The sequence below is a fragment of the Homo sapiens genome, chromosome 3 (genome assembly GCF_000001405.40).
Source record: "Homo sapiens chromosome 3, GRCh38.p14 Primary Assembly".
Taxonomy (NCBI): domain Eukaryota; kingdom Metazoa; phylum Chordata; class Mammalia; order Primates; family Hominidae; genus Homo; species Homo sapiens.
The window spans coordinates 82,318,964-82,333,459 of NC_000003.12; the positions used below are offsets into that span (position 1 = coordinate 82,318,964).

Sequence of the window (14,496 nt, forward strand, 5' to 3'; positions counted from 1 at the left end):
AGGCCTGCAGTCTTGAGACCCAAGAAGAGTTAATGTTTTATTTGAAGTCCAAAGGCAGAAAAAAAAAAAAGACAAAAAATAAAAAATAAAAAACAAAAAACCTGTGTCTTAACTCCAGGCAGTCAGACAAGAGAAAATAACCTTTTCTTTAAAGGAGCATTTTTATTATTCTTATGTATAGAAAACTCAACAGTATATATTTAACCCAGTTTGTAGTGGCAAATTTTTTTAGTCCTTGCCTTTTCCAGCACCAGTGTGGGCCACAGATTTAGAGCTCGGGACCTTGCCTCCGCTGTGATGGCAGATTTCATCATATCTGTCATTGTAATTGGTCCTGATAGCTTCCATTAGCTTAGCCAAAGCTCCTTTTTCTTTTCAGTTAACCTATGTGAAGATGACAGTGGTGCAGGTCTTCCTGTGCATTAGATGTCACAGTCTTGCCTTCCCTGTGATAGTTTGGTAATGGACCCCCATTTTACAACACAAGGCAGAGAGGAAAACAACTGGCTCGATGGGATCTGTGTCATGTGCAATCATCACAAGCTGAAACTTCTTGGTCTCTACCAAGGTGGTGACAGTTAACCCCTGCTCAAAGGACAAGTGATCTCTTAGTGGGGACATCCTCTTTGCCAGCAACTTTCTTCTCAGCCCAGGCCAACAGTCTCTGCTTCTTCCAGCACTTTGTTTCTGGTCTGTACTTGTGGGCCAGCTTAAGCAGCAGAATGACAGCTGGTCGAAGGCCTGGGTGAACAGGTTAATTGCAGGAGGCACTTTCCCACGTTTACAGAGGATAGATCATTGCTGCTGCAACTGGATGTATAGTGGAGTCATTTGACAAAGTAGGTTGGCTGGGCATGGTGGTGCATGCCGGTGATGCACACTTCTAATCCCAGCACTTTGGGAGGCTGAGGTGGGTGGATCATTTGAGGCCAAGAGTTCAAGACCAGCCTGGCCAATATGGCAAAAACACATCTCTACTGAAAATACAAAAATTAGCCAGGTGTGGTGGTGCACAACTGTATTCCCAGCTACTAGAGAGGCTAAGGCACAAGAATTGCTTGAACCTTGGAGGCAGAGGTTGAAGTGAGCCCAGATAGCACCACTGCACTCCAGCCTGGGTGACAGAGAGAGACTATGTCTGAAAAAAAAGACAAAGTAGGTGAGGTCTTGTTTGGTTTGGATGTGCTGTCCAATGGCAAAATTCTTAAGACTTTTCTCAAACACGGAATTTACCACCTTCTTGGCCTCCTGCTTCTTCGTGACACCAGGGGTCAGTCCCACCTTCTTTCCCTTGGCCTTCTTTCCTTTTGTCATCTTAGGTGGCTGAAGGAGAGAGTAACTAAAAACCTTCCTTGTCTTAGACTTTCTGTCATCATACTTTCTCACTCCCTCCATTTCACTGTCGGAAGTAACTCAGATTATTCCTTTAAAGAGTTCTTTTCTAAACAACATCCAAATATTGTTGTTTCTTGAGGATTAGCCTCATGCCCTCTTTATTTCATTCTCTAAACTCTTCCCCCGGTTGCCTTGTCTACTTTCATGGCTTTAAAAGCCATCTTTATGTAGATGTCTTCTAAATTTTAAAAATAATTTTAGATTCAGGTTCAAATTAGATCTGAATTTTAGATTCAGATACTCATTTTAGATTCAGGAGGTACATGTACAGGTTTGTTACCTAGGTATAGTGCATGATGCTGAAATTAGGGATATGATTCGTCTCATCACCCAGGTACTGAGCATAGTATTCAATAGTTAATTTTCTAACACTAGGCCCCCTGGATTCCTCTCCCATATAGTAAGTCCTCATTGTCTATTGTTGACATCTTTATGACCATGAGTACCCAGTGTTTAGCTCCCAATTATAAATGAGAACACGTGATATTTGCTTTTCTGTTCCTGCATCAATTTGCTTATGATAATGGCCTCCAGCTGCATCCATGTTACTGCAAAGGTCATGTAGTAGGCTATTCTTGCCCTGCTATGAAGAAATTCCTGAGACTGGGTAATTAATAAGAAAGCAGGTTTTATTGACCCATGATTCTGCAGGCTGTAGAGGAAGCATATGGCATCTGCTTCTGGGGAGTCCTCAGGAAGTTTCCAATAATGGCAAAAGGTAAAGGGAGTACAGGCACATCACATGGCAAAAGCAGGACTGAGAGAGAGGAGGGAAAAGGTGCCGCATACTTTTAAATGACCAGTTATCATGAAAACTCACTGTCATATAGACAGCACCAAGCCATGAGGGATTCACCTCCATGATGGAAATACATTCCATTAGGCACTGAATAACAATTCAACATGAGATTTGGGCAGGGACAAATATCCAAGCTATATCAGAACAAAATTTCATTCTTTTTGTGGCTGCATAGTATTCCCTGGTATATATGTACCACACTTTTTAAATCCAATCTGCCACTGATGGGCACCGAGGTTGACTGCACGTCTTTGCTTTTATGAATAGAGCTGTGATGAACGTAAGAGTTCATGTGTCTCTTTGGTAGAATAATTTATTTTCTTTTGGATATATAACCTGTAATGGGATTGCTAAATCAAATATATTTTCTGTTTTAAGTTCTTTGAGAAATCTCCAAATTGTTTTCCACAGTGGCTGAACTAATTTACATTCCCCTCAAGAGTGTATAAATGTTCCCTTTTCTTATTGAGAATAGGCCCCCAAATCTGGCCATAAACTGGCCCCAAAACTGGCCATAAACAAAATCTCTGCAGCACTGTGACGTGTTCGTGATGGCCATGATGCCCACGTTGAAGGTTGTGGGTTTACCGGAATGAGGGCAAGGAACACCTGGCCCACCCAGGGCAGAAAACCGCTTAAAGGCATTCTTAAATCACAAACAATGGCATGAGTGATCTGTGCCTTAAGGACATGCTCCTGCTGCAGATAACTAGCCAGAGCGCATGCCTTTGTTTCAGCCCATCCCTTTGTTTCCCATAAGGAATACTTTTAGTTAATCTGTAATCTATAGAAATAATGCTTATCACTGGCTTGCTGTCAATAAATATTTGGGTCAAACTCTCTCCAGGGCTTTCAGCTCCGAAGGCTGTGAGTCCCCTGATTTCCTACTCCACACTCTGTATTTCTGTGTGTGTATCTTTAATTCCTCTAGCACCACTGAGTTAGGTTCTCCACAACTGAGCTGGTCTCAGCATTTTCTCCACAGCCTCACTAAAATATGTTGTTTTTTGACTTTTCAATAATAGCCATTCTGACTAGTGTGACATGATATCAAATTATGGTTTTTATTTGCATTTCTCTAATGATTAGTGATGTTGAGCATTTTTTCATATGTTTGTTGGCTGCTTGTATTTCTTTTTTTGCGAAGTGCTTGTTCATGTATTTTGCTCATTTTTATTGGGGTTATTTGTTTTTTGCTTGCTCAACTGTTTTAAGTTCCTTATAGATTCTGGATATTTGTCCTTTGTCAAATGCATAATTTGTGAATATTTTCTCCCATTTCATAGGTCATATGTTTACTCTACTGAAAGTTTTTCTTTGCTAGCAGAAACCCTTTAGTTTAATTATGTCCTACTTGTCAGTATTTGTTTTTGGTAAAATTAAGGCAGAAATACAGCAATTCCTTGAAATAAATGAAAGTGGAAACACAACATACCTGAATTTCTGGGAAGAATCAAAAGTGGTGTTAAAAGGAAATTTTAGCGCTAAATGTGTGCCTCAGAAAGTTTAAAATAGCTCTAATTAATAATCTGACATCATACCTAGAGGAACTAGAAAAACAAGAACAAATTAACCCCAAAGTTAGCAGAAGGAAAGAAATAACTAAAACTGGAGCAGAACTGAATGGAATTGAGACCCCAAAATTCATGCGAAAAATCACTAACTCAAAAGTTTGTTCTTTGAAAAGATAAAAAAAATTGAAAGACTGCTAGCTAGATTGACAAAGAAAAAGAGAGAGATCTAAATAAGCACAATCAGAAATGACAAAGGTGACATTACAACTGATCCAACAGAAATAAAAACGATCCCCAGAGATTATAATAAACACCTCTATGAACACAAACTAGAAAATCTAGAGGAAATGGATAAATCCTTGGAAACATACAATCTCCCGAGATTGAATTAAGAAGAAATTGAAACCCTGAACAGACTAATATCAAGTTCTGAAATTGAATCAGTGAATTTCAAAAAACTATCAACTAAAAAACTCTGGACCAGATAGATTGACAATCCAGTTCTACCAGATATACAAAGAAGAACTAGTACCAATTTCACTGAAGCTATTCCAAAATATTGAGCAGGAGAGACTCCTCCCTAACTCATTCTACAAAGTCAACGTCACCCTCATACCACAACCTAGCAAAGACAAAATGAAAAAGAAAAATACAGGCCAATATTCCTTATAAACATAGACACAAAAATCCTCAACAAAATACTAGCAAACCAAATTCATCAGGACATCAAATATTTAATTTACCATAATCAAGTGGTATTCATTCCTGGGATGCAGGTTGAATCAACACATACAAATCAATAAATGTGACTCACCCCATAAACAGAAGTAAAAACAAAATCCATATGATCATCTCAACAGATGTGAATAAAGCTTTCAATTAAATTCAACATCTCTTCATGATAAAAGCCCTCAAGAAACTAGACATTGAAGGAACATACCTAAAAACAATAAGAGCCATCTGTGGCAAACTTACAACAAACATCATACTGAATGGACAAAAGCTGTGAAGACTAAGCTCTGATTTTTTTTATCTTGCCCAAATTCCTGTCTAAGGGGTCTGGAGAGTCATGCCCTACAAACCATAAATTCTCATCAGATGGGTTTTATTTAACCCTATATATTGTGGCTTACTTTCCAATCTGACTCTGGCATAACATTATGTGACAAAGAAGAAAGTCAAAATATTTTACCCCAAAACACGTTTCTTTGCCATATCTTGAAATGGCCCTGCAAAGCTATCCTTTGTGGGGGGAAAATTTGCATCTGTAAAGAATCTCTATAAACATAGCGTCATCTTTTTCTTCCAGGCCCTCCCAATCCTAAAGAGATTAATTAAGAGTGTAGAACCTTTTAAAGATCTGAATAGGAAACATTTGTCATCTATTGTCTCTAAGGGCAGCCACTATAAGACTTAAAAAGAACCTTGGTCTCCACAATCTTTTATCTTAACCTAAGCATTTTCTTTCTATGAATCCCAGGTCTTTAGACAAACTCAACCAATTGTCAACCAGAAAATGTTTAAACTTCCCTAAAGCCTTGAGCACGCACCAATTACCAACCACCCCCCACCCTTGCCCCGGGCCCATCACTTTGAGTTGTCCCACTTTTCTGGACCAAACCAATGTATTTCTTAAATGTGTTTGATTGAAGTCTCATTCTTCTCTAAAATATATAAAACCAAGCTGCTGTAGGGCCACCTTGGGCACATGTTCTCAGGACCTCCTGAGGGCTGTGTGATGGCTGTGGTCACTGTCACTCATATTTGGCTCAAAATAAATCTCTTCAAATATTTTACAGAGTTTGACTCTTTTCATCAACAACTGAAAGCATTCCCTCTACGAATTGGAAAAACATAAGTATGCCCACACTCACTACTCTTATACAACAGTAATGGAGGTCCTAACCAGAGCAATCAGGCAAGAGAAAGAAATATAAGCTATCTATATAGGAAAAGAAGGAGTAAATTGTTTCTCTTTGCTGACAATATGATCCTACAGCTAGAAAACTCTAAAGACTCCACCAAGAGGCTCTTGTGACGGATAGATGACTTCAGTAAAGTCTCAGATACAAAATCAATGTACAAAAATCAGTAGCATTTCTATACACCAATAAAGTTCAAGTTGAGCACCAAATCAAGAATAAAATCTCATTTACAATAGCTGCAACAACAAAAAAGTTCCTAGGAGTACATCTGTCTAAGAAGATGAAAGATATATACATGGAAAACTACAAACACGCTGCTGAAAGAAATAACAGATGGCACAAACAAATGGGAAAATATTTCAGGTTCATGTATTAAATGAATTAATATTGTTAAAATGGCCATACTTCCAAAACCAATCTACAGATTCAGTGCTATTCCCATCAAACAACCAATGACATTTTCCACAGAATTATAAAAACTACTTTAAAATTTGTAGGGAACCAAAAGGAGTCCAAATAGTCAAAGCCATCTGAAGCAAAAAGAACAAAGCTGGAGACATCACATTTCCCAACTTCAAACTATACTATAAGACTGCAGTAACCAAAACAGCATTGTATTGGTACAAAAACAGACACACAGACCAATGGAATGAAATACCGAACCTAGAAATAAAGCTGCACAACTACAGTTATCTGATATTTGATGAAGTAAATAAAAATAAGCAATGGGAAAGGACTGGACTCTCTATGTAATAAATGGTGCTGGGATAGCTGGCTAGCCATATGCAGAAAAATGAAAATGGACCTCTATTTTTAACATACAAAAATTAATTCAAGATAGATTAAAATTTCAGTGTAAGACCTCAAACTATTTGACTTCTAAAAGACAATCTAGGAAACACCATTCTGGACATTGGCCTTGGTAATAAATTTATAAAAATTTCCCTTTACTTTTTACTTGAAGGAATGCCAGCCTTTCATTTTACCTAGGGCTTCAACTAGTAGTATGTGGTCTGCCTGAAAAGGCAATATGCTTTACTTAGTCTACCCATCAACTGGCTGTTTCATCCAGGAACTCCCTCACAGGCACACTTAGAATAATGATTGATTAAATACCTGGGCACCTTCACAATCACATTGACACATAAAATTCACCAGCACAATGTGTGCATGCATTAAAAATAATGTCAGATATTTATAAGTTAGTTGAATTTGAAAAGAGCTGAGAATAATCTAAAATTAGATTTAATGGTAAACCCCTTTTTTCTTACTTTTTCTTTCCCTATCTTCCTTTCCTTTCTTTCATTCAACATAATTTATTGGGACACTACTAAGAACCAAAAATACTTGGATGAATAGAATATAAACTATTACTATAAATTCTACAAAATACAATGAATATTATGAAAGGCTTTAGTCAAGTTTTTGTGGAGTCTCAGAAGAGAATGACCCTAACTCTGTATAGAGATGCCAGAGTATTTTTCCCCAGGGCATAAATAGAAAAGGTCATTTAAGAGAGAAGAAGCTTCTCCCAACACTCAGCTTTTCCCAACAGTTAAGAGCTTTCTATTTTATGCAATGGCATTTGAACTTTGTCCTATATGCAAGTGGAGTCTTAAAGGTATACTTAGCATAGAGAAATATCATAATTATGAATTTTAGAAACACACCTCTGCCTGGGGAGTGGGGAAGTTGAGAACAAACTGAAGAGCATATTGAAACTAAAGGCTTATGAAACCTGTTTTTTTTTCTGTAAGACATTGTAATAATCAAGGTAAGACACAAAAAGCAAAAATGATAATGACAAAGAAGAGACCAAACTAAAATAGACTGATACAGAAGCACAGTGATACGGATATAAATGCTAAAGTAAATGAATGAATCTCTGCCACCCATATTTCTGAATTGAGCAGTCACATTAATCAGGAAATCTTTTGCCAAAGTGAAAGATTCAGGAAGGGAAAGGTTTTGAAAAGGCTAGGTAACTAGTTTAATGATGGACACTTGAGTTAAATAACATGAGTTGGTGGGTATTCTGTAGGAACTCACCAGAGAATTTGTAATTGTGACTATGGATAAGGTTGATGAAGGAGAGTATATAAAGTGACAAGAGGGGAAGGCCAATAGTACAACCTCAGGGAACACCAACTTTTGTGGGACAGGCTGCAGAAGAAAAATCAAGAGAGAGACTGAGAAACAGAGATAAGAGTGGTAAGAAACGCATGAAAAACAACCCCCCCAAAAGTGATGCAAAGCAAAGAAAATGTTTCCAGATTAACAATGTTTCAGTGTAGACATGTTGGACATTTCAAGAAAGAGGATGACTAAAATCATGTTTTGATATTGCTTTAGATTTAATCTTAGCAAAATATTTGCACAAAGGTGTTAAAGATTATGCAAATATGCAGGGAATCAAGAGTGGGAGGTGAAGGATGAAGAAGAACAAGGAAGACAGACTATTGTTGGGAATGAATAGGTTAAAGTCAGAGAGTGATATAAAGTTGAGGGATAGTATTCATTAAAAATGGAAGAAAGATCAATGGACTCTATTTTAAGCCTATCTCTTTCCTCTCCTCCCTAATTATTGCATGGGCTCCATGAATCCTCATTGGGTTAATTCTCTGTCTCTGGACTCTGATTAATTTTTCACATTTTCAAATAGATTTAAAATATCTACTCAATATTTAATGATACATTGGTTAACAATGCCTTATCTGGTAACAATTTTCAATAACATCATATTTTGGCAACAAATTCTCTGTTACTGATATTGACATTTAAATTTTTTATAAAGAAGAAAAAATAACATTCAAACAAAGATAAAATTTAAGGGTCTTAGCTACTTGAAACTGGCTGATCATCAGTGACTATGTCACCCTACATCATTCCAAACTGATATAGCAGATGTATCTTGAGTCCCTAGAGAGTCTGAAAAGGAGAATTAAAACAATGCCTGTTTTTTTTTTTTATTACTGAGACATATTGCAAACAAGGCTGTTTTCCTCACTTCTAAACATCTATGGCCACCTTCCATTTGTTAACTTCATTTTGGAATGGTTTCATTACTCTTATATATTTATTCCTCCATGCCTCCTTCTTTTGGCTGCCCATGTGTTTAAACCCATTTTCTAAAAGAATGTTTTGTTTGTTAAGCATGGCTTACAAAATAAAACGTACAAACTACAGCCCTAAAATGAATAAAGGATTTTCCCTCCAGTAGCCACTTTTCCCTTTATATGTCCTTTTTGCAGTAATAGGCAGTGTTAAGTGAATTGAGGTTTCTGGATTTTTCTTTCATGACATTATATACCTTTTTCCCCATTAGAAAAGTAATTTGTATCTAGGGATTAAAAATACAGTCATTGCTTTGACATATATGTGTCAGTTAGATATTTCCATCCTAAATTAGGCAAGAGTTGGAGAGACATACACTTCTAGCTTTACATTCTCCACATGGTATAACCCAGGAGTGGGAGTATTTGAAACCCAGAGAATAAAAATTGTCTCACATTCAGCGTGAATTGAGTAAGTTGGGTGGCAAATTCTTACTGTCATACTTATTTGTTCTGATATACTTGTCTGGAATACATCATTTCCCTGTTGTCATTGCTTTAGTTTAGAACTTTGGTTGCTGTGTTATTATTGTATAAGGCAATGCTTCTTTGAACCTATATTTAGTGTCCAGAATTTTTGTTAAAAAAGCAGCTATTTATGTGCACAGTCACTCAATGTATAGTGTGTGAAAGAATAAGGAGTAATTTAGAAGCAAAGACATATGCTGTTATTCTGCAAGGAGCAAAAGATATTTCTGGAAAATCTATTTCAACAGGGGACTTAGGAAGCTCGTCAACTTATAGCCATTGCTAAATTCAGTAAACAAGCTGTTCTCCATCAAAATATTTAGGAGACAGTAGACAAAAGGATGTCCTTACATTTTTTTTAAAGAGTAGTTAAGACATCTGACTCAAACAGTGAACCACAGGGAGAGCGATATTGCTGAGGAATTGAAGCTTATCCTTGTAGTATATTCCATGAAAAGAAAACAGAAAAGGATACTATGAAAAAATATTTAAGAGGAAAACTATCAGTAAACTATTTCATAAGTAAATAGAAGACTCTCTTGATTTATTTAGAATTTTGATAGTAAAATTATTTCTTCTAAATATACTTACAATTTAAAATATCTTTATACTAATCAAATTTTAACTGAAAAGCAAACAATGAAAATTGTTTGACTCTGTCATCCTATGAAAGGAATTAGCTATAGAAAAAAGTATGAAAAGTACTAACTGGCCACATAATCTCTCATTTTCATAGAAAAGTTCTCATTTTAATGTCATATAGTCAATTAAGCAATTTAATTATAGAGTAGTTAAAACAATAACTAATGCAAAAAATAAATCATGGAATAAAGCAATAGAATAGAACTGCTAAAATTTTGCATGAACCACATTTAGATTTGAATTTGACTTACAAATAAAGACTTGTGCATGAAAAGGAAAAATACTTCAAGCTTTTTTCCAGCCTACACACTAATATTTATGTGTGAATTAAAACTACATTAAATAAAATAAAAGAGCTAAATTGACCTGACAAAATTTTTAATGTTTATTTTAGTATAAAATAATAAGAAACAGTTATATTTATTTTATTTTGATATGCCAATTCCAAGCTGTGGTGAAAATAACATATTTTAATATACTGTAATACTCACGTATTTAGAAAAATCTTAAGTAATCTTTAATATAAAAATTAGAATGTTCATATTGAAATATGTGTTCAGCATCAACAATCGCTTTATATAAATAAGACTAACTATATAAAAATATGTTGCACTTAAAAAGAAAAATCAGACACTTAATTATAGAATAGCTAACAGGATATTTTGAACATAATATATTGGAAAGAATAGCTTACCCAAGTGGCTAATGCAGGTACTACAGGATTTATGAGGATGTTTATTATTTATCAGAGAAATATGATGGATTTTCTTTTCTGAATCCAAGACATAGAATTTTTTTCCATATGTCTTGCAAATATGATTAAAGAATAATTTAAAAATCACAGCAATAGCATGTACATATTGTTTGCTTTTGTAAAAAATACATATAAAGACCTCTAAACACATTTTCCAAAGATTTTTGTGTGTGTGCTTTGTGTTCTCTAGGCTTCTGAAAAAACAAAAACAAAATTTAAAGCTTGAGGTCTAAATTATAAAGCAATATAATAAAGTAAATATAATTGATTTACATTAGTTTTTAAACTAAAAGTAAACTATCAGTGTTTATAAATTTCTTGTAGGTGAATCTGTCCTGTCTAAAATGTCATTCATCAATTAGACTGTTATCCTTGTCAAATTAATATTAATGTGGTTTTGACATTTCTAATTCTCATTTATACGCTATCCTCAACCCCCATAGGAAGTATCTAAGCATGCTAATAATTAGCCATACCCTATAATTATAGAATTTGAAACTGAAAAGCAAATGCACATGATACTTATAGCAGCAAAATAATAATAATAAAAGTTATTTATACCGTATATTATTACATTCATGCTTCCCTTAGTAAAGAGAACATGGTCTAAGAAATTTGTCTTTAGAAAATTTTGTTGTAGTGTCAACATTATGGGGTGTACTTACACAAACCTAGATAGTATAGCCTATTACGCACTTAGGCTATGTGATATAACCTATTGCTTCTAGTCTACCAACCTGTACAGCATGTTACTGTACTGAATACCATAGGCTATTACAACACAATTGTAAGTACTTGTGTACCTAAACATATCTAAATATAGAAAATATATAGTAAAAATACAGTATTATAATCTTATGGTACCCCCATTGTATGTGCTGTCTATTGTTGACCAAAATATCATTTTGTGGCACATGACTATATATGCAGAGAAATTAAATTGTTTCCCAAAAGTACACAAATACATTTAAATGGCCTAAATGACATCCATTGAAGACTATTCATATATGCAGTGTATCAGTACACTGCATTAAAATATTTATGTCATTTTTTGGCTTGGATTCAGGTATTAATAGTCTTAATTAAATATTTCTGTAAATTTGTCTGCTCTAGGATCCTACTCTGTTAATAAAACTGATAATTAGTTTGTGTACTTGGCAAAATGTTTCTCATCTTTCTTGCAATCTATAAAGTGCAATGTAGAGATCTGGGTTCATGTTCTTGGCTTTGAGAAAAGATAGGATGGAACTAAATTTGAAAGACATCTGTAGAATGATAAGCCTAACTCTGAGGAGATAGGGTGGCTGCAAGACCTTAACATAACCAGTAATAATGTATGTATACTGACCTCTTAATGGGCTGTTACTGAACTTATGTGGAAATGAATCTTACTTAAGTGATGCCACATTTTCCTTAAGAAAGAGAGCTTGGGAAATTAAAACAGCATGATGTTCCGATTCCTATCTATTGTGTTTTGCTACTTTATTTTTAAAGTTAACAATTTTTCCAGTCTGTAATTTTAATGTCTAATGAACATGTTATAAATAACTTTATTTCTTCTCTCTCCAGGTATTTAATTATTAAACAGCATAGTGGTCTTTGTACTATTTTCCTTTTATATTTTATAATGATATTAACCCTGCTAGGACAATTATTTTAGGTATTGTCCCCAAAGTTCATGTAACTCATTTTAACATAAAATTAGTAGTCCTCACAATTATATGCTTCTTCAACACCATCCATCTTTAATAGTTTAGCGTAGGTGAAATCTACTGACATTTAAAGTGTGATTCATGCTACTTGCATTCCAGGTAAGGGTATTGTCTGTCTGCCTGTCAAATACGCCCTTAACCTTGAACTCAGCTGGATATCCTTACCCTTGCACTTCACTGTATATAATACAGTCTATGTAGAAATTCAGATACCTGAAATAGTCCCAATGCCTTTATTTCATGGAATGCTGAAATGTTCTCATGGCTCTCCATAGTCATTCCTCCTCTGCAATGTTTCATATGGACTTTCAAAATAGAAATAAAAAGATGCAGAATTTAGATTTAGTTAATTTACATAAGAAAGGCTTTCCATGTCAATTATTATACCTTTTTTTTTTTTCTCTCAAGATTGAAAAGGTCTGGAAGTGTAAGTTGTCATTATTTCTTATCTAAGCTAGGCAAAAAACATCAAATGGAGTTAGTACAAACTAAGTTTTAAAAAATGTATACATTCACTTATTCATTCAATTGTTGAATTTAAATAAAAGTCTATCAATTTCCAGGAACTGAGAAAGTCACTGGAATGTTCAGCAAATCACTTGAATTTTAATTCTGTAACCTTTAATGACTAAATTTATAGAAAACTGGGGTGATCAGAGAAGAAAGTAAAAAAAAAAATAAAAGATCACATAGTAGGTACTAAGTAAATAGTAAGTAGTAATGTAAACTTTTCAGAATAATGGTTAAGAGTACAGATTTAGTGGTATTCACTGGCTGTATGTACTTAGACAAAATATAAAATGAAAATATAATATTATCTTTCTCATAAAATTGTTGAGGTTTCAATGACTTAATATATATAAAGTAGTTTTCCCAATCTGTGGTTTTGCTTTATGCAGTCAACTATGGTCTGAAAGTCTTAAATTAAAAAATCTAAAAATAAACAATTTATAAAATTGTGTGTGATCTTGAGGAGCATGATGAAATTTCACGTCATCCTGTTCCATTTTGCCTTGGATGTGAATTACCCCTTTGTCTAGCATATTCACACTGTAGTTACTACCTGCCCTTAGTCGCTTAGTAGTTAAATGTCTTTTTAAAAATTGGGAATACAAATGGACAGTTATGACTTTTATTAAATTACTCTTTGTGATTGCGTTAATTATTTGTACCATGAAATTCCAAGTAAAGTACAAAGAAGAACAAAGGAAACATGTTTTATACACAAAAAAATCAGAGAATTATTTTGAAGCAGTTGTAAAAATATGCAGCAATAATAGGGAATTTCTACTTTTGTGTCTTATCATATGTTCTCCCCTTATATAACCTCACCAAATGGTCTGATATTGTTAGTTTACACATATTTGATTTTGTTTATTATCAGAGCCATTAGAAGCATAAAGACAACATACCTATTTTTGGGGAACTTATTCAGTATTTCAGAGATATTTATAATACATATCCTTTGTAAAGTTTTCACACCTAAAACACATGATATTTGTATGGAAAATTTAACTACTATGTAGTTCTATATTAATAAATTGCTGTTAATTAGTTTTAGGAAACTAATGGTATGATGTTATTTCTGGGGTTTTCCAGGCTGTAGGATTTTACTGTTTCAATTGATCTCCTTCCTGTAACTCTTACAATTAGATTACTGAGAGCTAAGGAAAAATAAACAACTCAGTTAAATATATCTTTCAAACATTTTTAAATGTTCACACTGAATCCTAATTTCTTTTATGTTGCAATCTTATGTGATCGATACAATAAGTGCCTTCGAAGATGTTACTTCACCTCTGTCCCTGGAAGTCTGCACCTAAAGTGCTTTTATTATTATTATTATTATTTTTTTATTATTATACTTTAAGTTTTAGGGTACATGTGCACATTGTGCAGGTTAGTTACATATGTATACATGTGCCGTGCTGGTGTGCTGCACCCACTAACTCGTCATCTAGCATTAGTTATATCTCCCAGTGCTATCCCTCCCCCCTCCCCCCACCCCACAACAGTCCCCAGAGTGTGATATTCCCCTTCCTGTGTCCATGTGATCTCATTGTTCAATTCCCACCTATGAGTGAGAATATGCCATGTTTGGTTTTTTGTTCTTGCGATAGTTTACTGAGAATGATGATTTCCAATTTCATCCATGTCCCTACAAAGGACATGAA

General features: G+C 34.5%; 1 long non-coding RNA gene and 1 pseudogene across 1 annotated transcript in view; one reads left to right on the forward strand and one right to left on the reverse strand.

The window, feature by feature from the left end:
* LINC02008 (long intergenic non-protein coding RNA 2008) overlaps positions 1-14,496 on the forward strand; it is a 477,534-nt gene that overhangs the window by 332,822 nt on the left and 130,216 nt on the right. The gene's annotated exons all lie outside the window — the stretch shown is intronic.
* RPL7AP23 (ribosomal protein L7a pseudogene 23) lies at positions 159-845 on the reverse strand (annotated as a pseudogene).